This window comes from Homo sapiens, chromosome 6 (assembly GCF_000001405.40).
Source record: "Homo sapiens chromosome 6, GRCh38.p14 Primary Assembly".
NCBI lineage: Eukaryota > Metazoa > Chordata > Mammalia > Primates > Hominidae > Homo > Homo sapiens.
In genome coordinates, this window is record NC_000006.12 from 53,346,584 (window position 1) to 53,361,593 (window position 15,010).

Consider the following 15,010-nt stretch of genomic DNA (forward strand, 5'->3'; position numbering starts at 1 on the left):
GGCAAAGAGGAGGAATTAAAAAAAAAAATTACAAAATCTTTTAGGAGAGAAGAATGTAGCCAGGAAAGCAAGAGGTAAAACTCTCTCTTCACACTAACTACCCACCTAGGCACCAAAGTTACCCTCAAGAAAAGTAAACAGTTTTGCTTTGATTTGTGTAATTCAAGCTGGAAATAAGACACCCAAGGATGGATGCTCACCTCTAGAAGCAGGAAGACAAGCAACCATTATGCAGGGAGCAAAAGAAGAGGTAGTGGAAAAAAAGATTCTTGCAAACAGAACATCCAAAAATTAAGGTCTGTAACCAAGAAGAAGCTGTTGATTTCAGGGAATGGGAAGGAAACATTTTCAAACCACCATTTGGCAGACTCAATGCTGGGCTCTCATTTGCATTATCTCTTGAAATCCACAATGATCCTGCCACATAAAATCCCCATGTATAGACAAGGAAATTGAGTCAAGGAGGTGAGGTCAATATCTGAAGTTACAAGATATTTTTCTTGAAAAACATCAAATTTTAGTAAGCCTTCTACTGTCGCTTTTCAGCAAAGTTCTGTACTACATTCTGTAACATTACCTATCTGTAACTATCAATAAAAATTTCCCCTTTGTCTTCAATTAGAAATAGAAACGAAAATGCAAAAAGAGAAACAGTACAGAAAAAGTTCCTGGCAATAAGAAGTTAGAATCTAGGGTAAAAATCTAAAAGGAAAATGAGTAACATTTCCCTTTCAAGTGCAGAGCTTTCCTGGAGAATCCCAGGCAGTGTCTGAGCTACCAGAAAAGTAACCCACTTGTCCCCAATCACAGATGGAAGGCTAAAATGTTTGTCCACGGCCATCTAATGCAAAACCGCCTGTTTCTATCTGTAGATTCTGCACGAAATGCTTTTGGCTGAGACGTGCAAGCAAAACAAGTGCAGACCAACAGGTTATCTGCCAAGCGGTTAGGAGAATGAGTTACAAAACCTGACAAGCAACATCAGCTCTTCCGTACAATTCTATGAAGCACTTCCTGCCACGGGTCCCGCTATTTAAAACAAATTAGGCTGCTCGCTCCCCACAAATCCCATCTAGCACCTCTCGGTTCCTCAGTCTAGCTAATAAACCATGCACTGGATTCTTCCGAAAGAGACCCCCCGCCCCCGACCCCGCCACCTCCGCCACTTTGCATAACTGGCCAAATGCATTCTCCAAATTTGCAATCAAGGAGCTTAATTCACAATTGTGGATGGGGCGGGGGGAACCGCCAAGTGCAAGAACACGGAACGGTTGCAAGACGCAGTTCAGCAAGAACAACTCTTGCTCTAGGCATTGCTCCGTCGACCCGAGGTGGTGGGGTGGGAGAGTCTTACCGGCGTGGAAACAGTAAAAAGGCACTTTTCCTTACAACTCGCAAGACAACACACACTCTAGCTCCCCCGGCGCAGAGCACAACCGCCCCCCCGCCGCGCGCCTCCCTCGCAGCCAACCGCTCCCGCCTCTCCAGGGATCAGGCTCCCAGAAAGGGCCGCCCCGGTCGCCCCCGAGTCCCCGCCCTCTCGCTTTCCCACCAGCCTCATCCCTCCCTGAGTACCAAGGGCTGCCGTTGTCTGGTTTCAATAAAAACTGAAGCGGTCCCGAGCTAGCAGGCTTCCCTCCGAGGGGCGGACGGAAGGTCCGCAGGGTTAACGGAAGCGGAGAGAACAGGACAAAAAGGAAAGGCCGGAGAGTCCCCCCAGCGGCGCCCGGTGCCCGCAGACCCTCGCACAGGCTCTTCGAACTCACCCGGGTTTCGCCGACTCCAAAGAAAGCGCGCTCCCTCCGAGAGCGCTCCCCCGGCTCTCCCGCCGCGCGCTCCGGCCCGCAGGGCGGGAGGACCCAGGCGGACAGATCCATCCCTCCGCGTCTGGTGTGGGCACGGTGTCGTGCCCCGCGGCGCCTGTCAGCGCGCACAGGTGGGACCGCAGCACAGAGAACGCTCCCGAGCGCCCTGCCTCAGCCTCGGCGTGGGGCGAGCCGCCCGCGCCCGCACCCGCACCCCTTTCCCCGCGCCCGAGGAGCCGGGCTGTACCCCGGAGCCGGCGGAGCTGGAGGCCGCGGGCGGAGCGCGGGTTGCCCCGGCAGCTCTTTCTCGGCACCAGGTCCGAGACCTAACGGCAGTTCTCTCTGACCGCTTCCCGGCCGCGCGCTCGCGCGGGTGTCATGGCCGAGCGGCGGCCCCCGACGAAGTTTCCCGGAGCTGACGGCTTTACCTTTTAGCCCAAGGGGCGGCAGCAGCTTTGAGCAGCAGCAAGGCGGCGGCGGCGGAGGGAGCGCGGGTGGCAGCCGGCGCAGAGGCGGATGTAGAAGGAGACACCGGTGGCTAGGACCCGCGCGATGGGAAGAGGAAGGCGCCGGCTATCTACAATCAGAACGTGGGCTGACCGTGACGTCACAATGGCGCGGCCAGCCAATCGGGACCCGAAGGATGAATCAAGCGCTATGATGTCATGCGGCCCGGGAGCCAATCGCGGGACAATAGAACTTTCGTGATCGTAAATTCCAGAATCCGATGCGGTGGAGAGCCTAGGCCGGGGTTGGCCCCTCGGTTCCACGTGTCTCTGGGAAATTTTTTTCCCCTTTCTTCCTAATAAGCCTGCGTGGAACGCAGAGCCTGCGCAATAGCCCCGGTGAAGTTGTCGATGCCCTGAACTCTGGTTTTTTTACTGCCAGGCGTGGCAGGAGTCTGTGGCCGCATTTGGGTGGCAGAAGCCCACCCTCGTTACGGTCTCCTCTATGAGTTATGTCATGCTGAAGGGGATCCACTTCATCGTTAAAGCTGAAAGGGTTAAATGCCCACGGAGACCGCCGGAGTGAAGGTCTGCAGTTGAACAAGATAAAGGAACAAGAACAAAACGACTCAAAACTGTTGTAACCATAACTCCCTTGCAAAGGATTTACCGTGTATTTTTCTTAGGGATTCTGATTTTTCTTTGGAAGCCACTATCAACTCCATTTCTACTCTAGAAATTATTCTAAAGGATTGTTAAATGAGGAAAGATGGAATCAGTGTCTTTTCAGCTAAGCATATTTAAGCACTTAAGACAAAGGGGGTTCAGGGCATAAACGGAAGATCCTTGCTGTTTTTCACTGATATTTGGATAATTAAAGACCTTCATTAGCTTTGTATCCTACTGTTTCCCCATTCAAACCCCAGAGATTTAGCCTTTCTTCGTGTGCCCCTCTTGCTGTATTCTTACTCCTCTATGTGCATCCACCTAACAGTCGGCTATTTAATGTAGGCAAATTTATTCTTTTTTTTCTTTTTTTTTCTTTTTTGAGACAGAGTCTCGCTCTGTTGCCCAGGCTGGAGTGCAGTGGCGCGATCTCAGCTCACTGCAACCTCCACCTTCCGGGTTCAAGCGATTCTCCTGCCTCAGCCTCCCAAGTAGCTGGAATTACAGGCACGCGCCACCACACCCGACTAATTTTTGTATTTTTAGTAGAGATGAGGTTTCGCCATGTTGGCCAGGCTGGTCTCGAACTCCTGACCTCAGGTAATCCGCTCGCCTCAGCTTGCCAAAGTGCTGGGATTACAGACGTGAGTCACCGAGCCTGGCCGGCAAATTTATTCTTTTACATATTTACAATGTAATGCTTATCACGTGCCAGCTGTGTTCCAGGCAGTGGGCCATTGCAATAGGAATGCAAGTATACAAACCATGTACAAATTAAGTAAATTAAACATATACAAAGAATCGAGATTGTCAGTTGCCATTGAGCTCCACAAACACTGAATGACTTCAATTTGCTAGATACTATGTTAGGTATTCAAAATTTGAAACCTTCAAGGACTTCTTGGGCCTGGAAAATGATACAGTCAGGAAGCAACTACAATGCAGAGTGGTAAATGCTGCTATGGACATCAAGGGACATGAGAAAAGCATATGCTGGTGGCATAGACTATTTTTTTGAGATATCTCCTTCATTCTTCACGCTTCTGCCAGTAGTCCAAGGCCAGGGTTCATCTCTGTCATCCCATCTAAGTTTTGCCTTTCCAGGTTTTAAAAGTTTCTAATTTAACTTGAGATTCCAAAAGTCTTAAGTTTTACGCCGCACTTGTTTGAATTGTGCTTACCTATCAATAAAATGTTTTAAGCCCATTTGACCAAAATATCTTTAAGTTCAGGCTTATATAACTGTCAAGCTATGCATTAAATATCAAGTGATTTTTCTTATTGTATGATTAAGTATGACGTTTTGCTGTTTTTTCCCATCCCCCAAAGGCTGCGTTTTTACACAGTTCTTTGTTGATGTGTGTATCTTGGTTTCCATTATAGCATCACCACCCTGTATTGTAGTTGCTTTCTGATGGCATCATCTCACTCAATCCTTGGGGTATATGTACCCCACTTTAAAGACCACCGCTTTAGGTAGTAAACTCCGTTGAAGGGGAAAACATGTTGAATTTTGCTCCTTATTGATCTGTAGATCTTAGTACAATCCCTGGCATATAAGGGCTCAATAAATACGTGTTAGATGAGTGAATCTGTGAACAGTTACTCCCCCTCACCATCACCATCACTTTTCAGCTCCAGAGTTCCAATCCTCTGTCAGATAGTCACATCCCAGGATTATTAGATTATTAACTCCTCTCAAACATGTTGGTACGGTCATGTTCTCATTAGTTCTCCAGCCAGAGACTTAGAGTTCTCAGAACATATATATATATGCAAATGTATTATTTTACATATTACAATGTAATGTTTATCATGTGTCATATATCTCTGGGGGAAACTTCCTCCCACCCTAACAATTACTTCGTATTTCTGCATCATTGCACTCATGAGTAAAGCTGTAAGAAAAACAGTGGAGCCGAAACGACTCCCCAACTTAACTGTGGGATTTTTTCCAAATAAATCAAAAGAATACCTAGGATCCAATGCCAGGCTTACTAAATAACAGGGCTCAAGGAACCTGTTTTAGGTAGCATCAGAATCAGATTCCTGGCCAGCTGGGTTCTGGAAACTGTGCTGAAGCCATCCTTGCCCTTCTAACCCACCTATCCAACAATGTGAGCCCATGTAAGGTACAGTTAACAAAACCTTGTAACTATTACCTGTTTGTTCATAGCATCCACATGGTAGTCCCCCAAGAAATGATTGTTGAATTATCTTCATTCAATAGCTAACTATTAATATTTTCTTCTTTCTCCTTCATGTATTTATTTATTTATTTATTTATTTATTTTTGAGATGGAGTTTCGCTCTTGTTGCTCAGGCTGGGGTGCAATGGCACGATCTTGGCTCATTGCAACCTCCACCTCCCAGGTTCAAGCAATTCTCCTGCCTCAGCCTCCCAAGTAGCTGGGAGCGCCCGCCACCACACCTGGCTAATTTTTTTGTATTTTTAGTAGAGATGGAGTTTCGCCATGTTGGCCAGGCTGGTCTTGAACTCCCGAACTCAGGTGATCCACCCACCTCGGCCCCCTAAAGTGCTGGGATTACAGGCGTGAGCCACTGTGCCTGGCCTTCTATTTGTTTTTAAATTCTGGTAATATTTTTCCTTTTGCTCTTAGTTTTCATCATTGAGCTCAAATCTCCTCAAACCACACACTTCTAAGTGTATTAGAAGGTTGCTTCAGTATTGCTTTTGAAAAGGAAAGTACTTAACATCCTAGGCAATTTGTTTTATTGTTATAGCAGCTGCAGTTGAATTAAAAAATACAATTGGAACTTTCATTAGAATACAATTCTGATTAGTGAAACTTGTTTCATTAGGACGTATTTGCATGACATAATGAAACACATCCTTCCAGAAAAGATATAAGCCAATGTTTGCCTCTGGACATATCAAAGTTGACTAAAATATAGGTCAAGTAGCAGCTATTTTATGCTAAAGATGACACTGCAGTCTCTGTTGGTTCCTACGTTCTCCGCCTCCCCCCACAATCCTTTTTTCTTCTGTTCTAATTTGTGTTTTCTATTATCTTGCTGCCCAGAATTCCCACAGGCCACCTGGCTTGTCTTTGTCGGAGGCAGAGGTAGATTAAAGGCAGTTTCTTGTCCTCCTCAGACCTTGGAGTCAGTTCCATACTTCAATTGTTACTTTGCTATTCCTTTTCTTCATTGCTGTTCAACAATATGTCCTGCAGTTTATCTCTGTCCTTGTCCTTGAGTGTTCATCTTGATGAACATGAACTACTTGAAGACACTGCCCATGCCTGGTCTGCTATATTGTTTTCTTAATGACTAGCAGAATTTCTGGCAAATCACAAATGTTCATAAATATTCGATTAATGAATGAACAATTTGTACAATTTCTGGATTCTCTAGATTTTCTTCTCCACTTCCTTTTACACTCTTTAGTACTGTCTCCAGAAGTGACTGGGCAATGAAAGAGATCTGCATCCCAGTCTTCTGTATCCACATTTCCTTTGCAGGTGATATCATCCCCTTTCATGTGTTTGGATTTCATCTATGGTCGGCTGACTTCCAAGTGTATTTCTCCAGCCCACACATTTTCCCTGATTTCCAGACTTACGTACTTAACTACTTATTAATGACTTCTCTAAATGAGATATATTCATAAATGAGATATCCAAAAGACATCTCAAATTAAGCATAACAAAAAATGAACTCTTAACTGGCCTTCAAACCTGATCTTCCACAGTAGTCCCCAGATTTGTAAATGACAATTCTATGGACCCCGTTTCTCAGATCAGACACCTTGGAGTTACCTTTAGCTCCTCTTTTTTTCTCACCTACTACATCCAGTGCATCAGCAACACTCTACTACTTGACCTTTGAAACATATCCAGAATGTGTTTGCTTTTTACCATCTCCAACATGACCACCTGGTTTAAGTCACTATCAACCATTGCCTAGAATGTTGTAATGGTCTTCTAACCAGACCTCTACTTCTGTCTTTGCTGCCTACAGTCTATTCCCAAACCAGGTGCCAGAGTGATCCTTTTAAAACCAAAGCCAAATCACGTCACATGTCTGCTCAATGTCATCTAGCAATTTCTCATCTCCCTGATAGTAAAAGTCAAAATCTTTACAATGGCCTATAAGATCCTTCATGATTTTGCAACTTGCCATTTCTCTGACTTTAAACAGCTACTCTGTCTTCCACCCACAATGGCCCCAAGAAATATCTTGAGCACACCAAGTACTAGACTGCGTCAGGGCCTTTGCATTTACTCTTTACCTCATGCCTAGAATAATCTAACCCAGAAATCTCCAAGACTTACATCCTTGCTTCATGCTGGTTGCTACATCACTGTCATTTCCTTAGGGAGTTCCCCTGGATCACTCCCTTTAAATTTGCAACACCTCCCTCCCTGCCTTTCACACTCTGGAACACTTTATGTTTCTCCTTAGCACTTAACATTCTGGCATAGTATAGATTTACTTTTTAATATTTGTGTATTATCCCCACAGCCCCATAAGCTCATTGAGGACACAGACTTTGTTCTCTTCACCACTGTTTCCCCAGCACTTCGAACACTACCTGGCACTTGGTAGGAGCTCAACAAATATTTACTGAATTGGTAAAGGAACAAATGAATTAATGTAAAATTGAAATGCAAGTCAATAATATATGTTTTTACTAGGTATCATTTGACTAAAAATTAAGTCAAAGAGAAAGAAAACACTAACTACAATAGTTTTAAAAATATTATCTGAGTATAATTTTTCTGTTCCCTGTTACAGTAGATACAACAAATTTCTCCTTTTGCCTTTCTGAAATTTTAAAATGTGAAAAATTAACATGCTCCAAAGGAATATTTAACATTTTTAAAGTGCTATTAAAAAGACTGTAACTATACTTTTAATGAAAACAAAACATTATTTAGTCTGAAATTGCTATGAATTTGGGATATCTTACCCTTTCTATGCATGCATCAGTTATCTTGAATATCAAGCACTTTCTCTTGACATAAAAACTGTTATATTTATTTCAGTGATGAATCCAGGTTCGTAACAATTCTTTCCCTTATGCTTCCAACATTATAATGAGACAAACAAATTGAGCCACAGAAGAGTTAAATGACATGACCAAGGCTGCACAGCCAGTTAGTGCAGAATTAGAATTTAAATTCAAGTATCAGTTCTCCCTTTCCAACTTGGACGCGGCAGAACGGCTCCTGCAAAGAAGGGTGGCGAGAAGCAAAGGGTCATTCTGCCATCAATGAGGTGGTGATCCAAGAATACACCATCAACATTCACAAGCGCATCCATGGAGTGCGCTTCAAGAAGCGTGCCCCTCGGGCACTCAGAGAGATTCCGAAATTTGCCATCAAAGAGGTGGAAACTCTAAGTGTGCGCATTGATAGCAGGTTCAACAAAGCTCTCTGCGCCAAAGGAATAAGGAATGTCCCGTACCGAATCCGTGTGCAGTTGTCCAGAAAACGTAATGAGGATGAAGATTCACCAAATAAGCGCTATACTTTGGTTACCTATGTACCTGTTAGCACTTTCAAAAATGTGCAGACAGTCCATGTGCATGAGAACTAATTGCTGATCCTCAAATACATCAAATAAAGGTATAAAACTGCAAAAAAAAAAGTCTCGGTTCTCAACTTCTTCATATGCTAAGATATGCTGAAGATAAGATTTTAATCTAAGATAGATGGTCAATGTGTCTTTACTTTGCTGGTTATTAAAAGATACATTTCATAATTGATTTATTTTATTCTGTAACATATTAAATAGCTAAAGATTTCCAGGATGTGAACAAAAGCATAAGATAAATAAACTTTTAGCCAAAAAAGTACCTGTGAACAACTGACCAAGAACAGCGATGTGGTTTCTATTGTTAAGGAGTATGTTCTTGTTAAGTAGTATGTTCTGAAAGTGCTCTATGAGATTTTTTGGAGCCGGTGATACAGTACGGAATATGCTTTGTGCTAATTCTATCTTTTGTAAAACAAAAGTTTTTTAAAACTTAGCCATAAGTGAATTAGTCATTCCAAGTTGTGTGATGTTTTAGTTCTCAGTATAATGTGTCATAAAAGGCCATGCTTTTGTCCACCTGCAATATTAGACATGATTTTGCATGTCAAAAACTGGTAGTATAATTTATTTTCACAGTCTCAAATTCACTTTTTGCCAAGAGTGAATGTGGGATGTTAAGACTCAAATGAAATTCTACAAGTTTGTGTTGCAATTTAATTATTTTTGAAAACTATTTCTTGGCCTTTGATTGTAAAGCACTTTTTTCTTCCCAAATTCATATACCCCTTTGTGTCAAGTTCACTCAGTCAATTCTCTTTTGAGTTAAATAGCATTGCAGTGTTGCCTTCTAATCTGAATGGTTAAATGACATGCTTTGACTGTTACAGTCTTCTCTATAAGATGTATTTCAATAGAATGAATTAGGGTATAAAATGTAAAAGTTTTCAAATACCCTATGAGCATAAAATTGGGACAATTTTAGATGGTTTAAAGTCTAGAAAATACAGAATACAATATGTTAATACTTTTGCATCTTATTGATGCATAAGATTAACTACCTTTTTTTTTTTTTTTTTCTGAGACAGGTTGTCATTCTATCATCCAGGCTGTGGTGCAGTGGCACCATTTTGGCTCACTATAGCCTCCACCCTCCAGGCTCAAGTGATTCTCCCACCTCAGCCTCTTGTAGAGCTGGCACCACAGGTGTATTCCACTGTGCCCAACTTTTTTTTTTTTTTTTGTATTTTTAGTAGAAAACGTTGGCAAGGCTGGCCTCAAACTCCTGAGGTCAAGGGATCCACCTGCCTTATCCTCCCAAAGTGCTGGAATTACAGGCCTAGCTATGACGCCTGGCCAACTTCTACTGAATTTTGTTGTTGTTGTTGTTTGTTTGTTTGTTTGGAGACCGAGTCTCACTCTGTTGCCCAGGCTGGAGTGCAATGGTGTGATCTCAGCTCACTGCAACCCACACCTGCTGGGTTCAAGTGGTTCTTGTGCCTCAGCCTCCCGAGTAGCTGGGACTACAGGTGTGAGCTACCACGCCTGGCTAATTTTTGTATTTCTGGTAGAGATGGGGTTTCACCACGTTGGCCAGGCTGGTCTTGAACTCCTGACCTCAGGTAATCTGCCCACCTCGGCCTCCAAAAGTGCTGGGATTACAGACATAAGCCACCATACCTGGCCTTTACTGAGTCTTAATCTAAACATGATCTTTTTATTTTTCTCTTCACCTACCCTGACCTCTTTTACTTCCTTGAATGTGACTTAGAACAATATGTTCCTTCCTTCTTTCCCCATGACCAAAGCATTCTGTGCAGGCTTTTTATCATTTATAATATTAATATTGTAATTGTTTGCTTATTGCCTCTCCTCCCCAAGTCAAGTGAAGAATATGTGTCATTCATCTTTGCACCTCAAGCATGCTGTGACAGGTACATAGTAGGCATTCAATAAATGTTTATTGAGCTAGACTCCCAGAAAACCATTTACTTTCCTTATGATAAAGATAGCAAATAAGACACAGGCTGTTTCAGGATGTGCAAGAAAAAAATGTTGGAGCCCCCAATTCATATCACAGTTTATTGTACTTTAATGACAAGATAGGCAGATTCTGACGTGGCTCCAATAATCTTTGCCGCCTGATATTCATGCTGGTGGGTTGGACCTAGTAACTTGTTCATAACAGAACATGGCAAAAATGATGGAATGTCGCCTCCTAGATTGTTAGAAAAGAAGGTGTGACCTCTATCTTATTGGCACTCCCTCTGTAACTTCTTGGCTTTGTGTACTTTGATGAAGGAAGGTGCTATGGAACTGTCTACATGTCAAGGAACTAAGGTTGGTCTCCTGTCCACAGGGAGCTGGGAACTGAGGTTCTGAATCTAACAGCCCTTGAGGAACTAATCCTGCCAATCACCACATGAGTGAACTTGGAAGTGGATCCTTCCCCAGAAAAGTCTTGCGATTACTCCAGGCCCAGTGGATACCTTGACTGCGGTCTGTGAGAAATCCTGAGGTAGAGAACCCTGCTAAGGCAAACAATGCCCCAATTCCTCATCTGCAGAAACTTTGAGGCAAAAAATGTTGTTCCAAACCACTAGATTTTGGAATAATCTGTAATGTAGGGATAGTTAATACTTTTTACAACAGAATCAGACACAGACTAATTGAAATAAAGTTTATTTACTTTGCTTATCAAAACAATCAAGGTATGCCTAGTGTTTGATAACTATGTCAATATACCGGTCACAAGAATTTACCTTTCCCAAAATGGTTTTCTCATATCATGAAAAACATATACACATATGGGTATAGGTTGCCCAATTTCAAAAAGAAGAGGTCAAGGCAAGCGACTTTGAAAACAAATTAAGCTGCTGCTTCACTGATTAGGGAACTTACTGGTAAGGAACCCTCATTCCTCAACCCACTTCCCCCAGATATCAGTAAACATTTTCTCAACTCGGGGGTAGTCAAGTGCCTCAATTTCTCACTTCATTTATTATTTTGAATTAAGGTATTGCAGCTTACTATAACACAAACCAAAACACAGACATTATATGGGGAGGATAACGCATTGAACTTTCGTTCACTAATGAGTAGACCCAATTAGTTTATTAGATCAGCCAAGCAAGGAGAAACTAGACTGTGAAAGTCTGAAAGCCCAGAAAATTGTGTTGTGGTTAAGAAAAATTCACACGGAGTAGGGATAAAGGGGGGGCACAGTGGATGCATAGAACAGGCATAAAAAGACAGAATTACTTTTCAGAAAACATTCATTCATGAATGAATTCACTTGTTAAATTATCCTCCGCACATAGCAAGAAATCTAGAAGTCAGTGGATGCTGAGTACATATTTACTGACTATTCTTTGGGAACTTGGTATGTGCTAGGAATTGGGGTGATAAAACTTTTTACCAATATATGGCAAAAAGCGATGTGCCTTAGGAAGTGCAAAAAAAGTGCTGTGGGAATCCACATGTCAAAGAGGATGAGGAAAGGGCATTGTAGCAGTAGGGCCTTTGCAAAGGCTGTATACCCTCTTCTTAAAACTGCTCACCTCTCCTCTTCCCAGGTCTCAATTGAGAAGTCATCGTTTTAAAACGACAGGTCTTTCCCATACCTGGCTAAAATCAGTTTCTCCTCTACTTCCTCTTCCTCAGCCACTACTTTACTTTGTCCACAGCACTTAGCACAATCTGTAGTTGTTCTGTTTACTCATTTTTACCTCCTACCTTCCCTATTACACTTCAGGATGGCAGAAACAAGTCTACCTTGTTACTGGGGTGTGCCGGGCATAAAGTGTGCGCACACTTTTTTTTCTTCCTGTTTTTCGAGATAGGGTCTCGCTCTGTCGCCCAGGCTGGAGCGCAGTGGCGCGATCGCCGCTCACTGCAGCCTCGAAGTCCTGGGCTCAAGCGATTCTCCTCCTTGGCCTCCCAAAGCGCTGGAATCAGGGGTGTGAGCCACCTGGCCTGAGTGACTGAATCTAAAATATGGAGTCAAAAAGGGGTATTGGTGTAGGGACAGAAAAAAACTGGGTGTCCAGACATGAATTCCAATCAAAGGAGCCGGGCCTTCTTGGCACATCGCGCTCCGAGAACCCGGGAGGGATCCAGAGAGGCGGGGACGCCCTTTGTCACCGGCCTGAGGGGCGGGCGTGGCTTCCCTTTGCAACCCCTTCCCCCAGTCTTGACCGCAGGCCCTTGAGGGCCACCATCACTTCTGGGTTCCCGGAACGCGGTGGGCACACTCGCGCCAGGCGCGGGTACCAGGGCCTGCCTGGGGCCCCCTCCTCCACTCGCGCGGCGTGGACACCGTTAACTGCCTGTGGCTCAGGGCGGTGCCGCCGCCACCCCCGCGGCACTCGGCTCCTCTCGCCAGCCCTGCGCCACTCGGCTCCTTTCGCCCGCCCCGCGCCCTCGGCGGGCCCGCCCCGCTCCCCCGCGGCGGTCACCCCATTCATTCCGCGGCTGCACCCACCAATCACCGCTCACCAACAGCGCCGCATCTGGCGATGGGGCGGGGCCTCGCGAGGAGCACGCTCGCGCCCTCCCCGCCTTGAGCTCGCTCCCGGGCCGGGTAATTCCCGGGCAATGACCAGACCTCGTCCCCGCGCTGACCCTTCCTGGGGACATCGGGTGGGGGTGGAGGAGGCGCTGAGCTAGGGAGAGGAGGGTTGTGCGGCCCGGACCACGCAACCTTGGGATCGGAGGGTGGTTGAGGCCTTGAGGGAAGAATGGAAGGCGGCCTTGACTTCTGGTGCTTCCACGCCCTTCAGATCCAGAGCCCAGAGCGTCCAGGCTGGAGTTTAGGACGTTCATCAGAGTCCCGAGACGCGCGAGTGGGTGGAACCGCGTGGGGCGGGAGAAGAGGGGGAGATTAGGCAGCAAGAAAATGGTCCCCGTGGGCAGTTCAGCCTAAACCTGGAGCTGGGGAAGGGCCTCTGGAGAGAAGCCTTAAATCGTTACTCATCTTTCACAGTCTTTTATAATCGTGAATGAGCCCTCCGTTGTAGACTGTTAATGCGTGTCCAGGATGCCCGAGAGTGGGGGTAAAACAATAAAAGACTCCTCCTGTTGTGATTAAAATTATATTTGCTTTTTGTATCCTCCTAAGTTCCATGATATTGAAAATGTGTCTTGTTATATTTCATAAATGAGCTTTTAAAAAACTTCTGAGATATCTTCCAAAAAGTATCACTCACCAGGGAAGAAAAGAAGAGGAAACCTAGTGGCTTTTCTGTTGACGCCAAAGGTTACTCCCTCTGCCTCACCATAAAAAAAAAAAAAAAAAAAAAAAAAAACAAACCCCAAAAAAACAAAAAACAAGAAAAAGCACAGAAAGCAGTTTGGCTTGCTTGTAAAGTCTTGGTAGATATTTCTGCTTATCATTTAATCCTTTTAACAAGTCTGTAGGAATAGATGGGTATTACCACCAGTTGTAGATGTTGAAACAGGCTGAGATTCATCTGGCCAAGGTCATACATAGTTTGTAAGTGACAAAGTGTGGGCCTCTCACCGGTAGACGGTCGTGACTGCAATTGTCCAGGTTCTTGACATTTTGAACAAAGAATTGAACAAAAGGCCCAGCAAAGCAAAGAAAGAATGAAGCAACGAAAGAACGAAAGCAGGGATTTATTGAAAACGAAAGTACACTCCACAGTGTAGGAGCTACCAGGGCAGAGGCTCAAGGACCTGGATACAGAATCTGCCTGGGTTCAAATACCCTCTAGAGGTTTGTTTCCCTTTGGCCACTTCATGCTCACCTCATGTAAATGAAGTGGTAGCCCGCAATCAGTCTGATTGGTTGTAGACAACCATTCAGAGGCTGGAGTGAAATTACAAAGTTGCAAAGGAAGACTGGACCCGCAATCGGTCTGATTTGTTGCTAACTCCCAATTTTCCAACTGCCTGGCAGAAAATGTCAAGGGGAGTAGCCTCTGATCCTCTTGTTACTTCGGGGTGGAAAGTTAGGGTTTTCTTTTCTTTTCTTTCTTTTTTTTTTTTTTTTTTTTTTGGACGAAAGTCTTGGTCTGTCACCCAAGCTGGAGTGCAGTGGTACAATCCCAGCTCACTGCAACCTCCGCCTCCCAGGTTCCAGTGATTCTCCTGCCTCAGCCTCCCGAGCAGCTGGGACTACAGGCGCGCGCCACCACTCCATGCTAATTTTTGTATTTTCAGTAGAGACGGGGTTTCACTATGTTGGCCAGGATGGTCTCAAACTCCTGCCCTCGTGATGCACCCGCCTTGGCCTCCCAAAGTGCTGGGATTACAGGCGTGATCCACTGCGCCCCGCCTCCTAATTTAGTTCTAGGAAGTTGGTGTGAAACAGCTTTAGGTTCCCTGCCTCCAGATCCTATTCTCCTGCCTCAGGCCCTTTCCATACTTCTCTCCCTTACATCATGAAATTTCAATCCACAATAAATGGAAGGTGAAAAGGAATCTGATGATTTTGGAGTCCTTAGCTAAAAACTGCATCTAGCCGAGTACTAGCACCTCTTGGAGATGAGTTGTGTTTTTTGAGAACTCTGTTAAGTACATAGTTTTCATGCCAGTATTATGAAAGGTAGAAGGAGAGTTCCTTGAGAT

At 44.6% G+C, this 15,010-nt stretch overlaps 1 protein-coding gene and 1 pseudogene across 5 annotated transcripts in view, besides 5 other annotated features; one reads left to right on the top strand and one right to left on the bottom strand.

The window, feature by feature from the left end:
- ELOVL5 (ELOVL fatty acid elongase 5) overlaps positions 1–2,367 on the bottom strand; it is an 81,547-nt gene extending 79,180 nt beyond the window's left edge. For 4 of the 5 annotated variants that reach the window (NM_001242830.2, NM_021814.5, NM_001242828.2 and 1 more), the window contains exon 1: positions 2,234–2,367. The gene's annotated coding sequence lies outside the window, so the exon portion shown is untranslated. Of the gene's footprint in view, positions 1–1,766 lie in introns of all 5 variants that reach the window. The other variant, NM_001301856.2, reaches the window with a different exon arrangement.
- Positions 1,768–2,207: a silencer, noted in NCBI's record as "silent region_17289". NCBI's record gives its function as "represses an Ori minimal core promoter by ATAC-STARR-seq in GM12878 lymphoblastoid cells {active_cell/tissue: GM12878}" and the evidence as "EXISTENCE:reporter gene assay evidence [ECO:0000049][PMID:35858748]".
- RPL31P28 (ribosomal protein L31 pseudogene 28) lies at positions 8,078–8,456 on the top strand (annotated as a pseudogene).
- Positions 12,669–13,028: a silencer, noted in NCBI's record as "silent region_17290". NCBI's record gives its function as "represses an Ori minimal core promoter by ATAC-STARR-seq in GM12878 lymphoblastoid cells {active_cell/tissue: GM12878}" and the evidence as "EXISTENCE:reporter gene assay evidence [ECO:0000049][PMID:35858748]".
- Positions 12,669–13,288: a biological region, named in NCBI's record as "H3K27ac hESC enhancer GRCh37_chr6:53224161-53224669".
- Positions 12,780–13,288: an enhancer, noted in NCBI's record as "H3K27ac hESC enhancer chr6:53224161-53224669 (GRCh37/hg19 assembly coordinates)". NCBI's record gives its function as "activates a minimal SCP1, AML or CMV promoter by ChIP-STARR-seq in naive H9 embryonic stem cells {active_cell/tissue: H9 hESC(naive)}" and the evidence as "EXISTENCE:reporter gene assay evidence [ECO:0000049][PMID:30033119]".
- Positions 13,289–13,796: an enhancer, noted in NCBI's record as "H3K27ac hESC enhancer chr6:53224670-53225177 (GRCh37/hg19 assembly coordinates)". NCBI's record gives its function as "activates a minimal SCP1, AML or CMV promoter by ChIP-STARR-seq in naive H9 embryonic stem cells {active_cell/tissue: H9 hESC(naive)}" and the evidence as "EXISTENCE:reporter gene assay evidence [ECO:0000049][PMID:30033119]".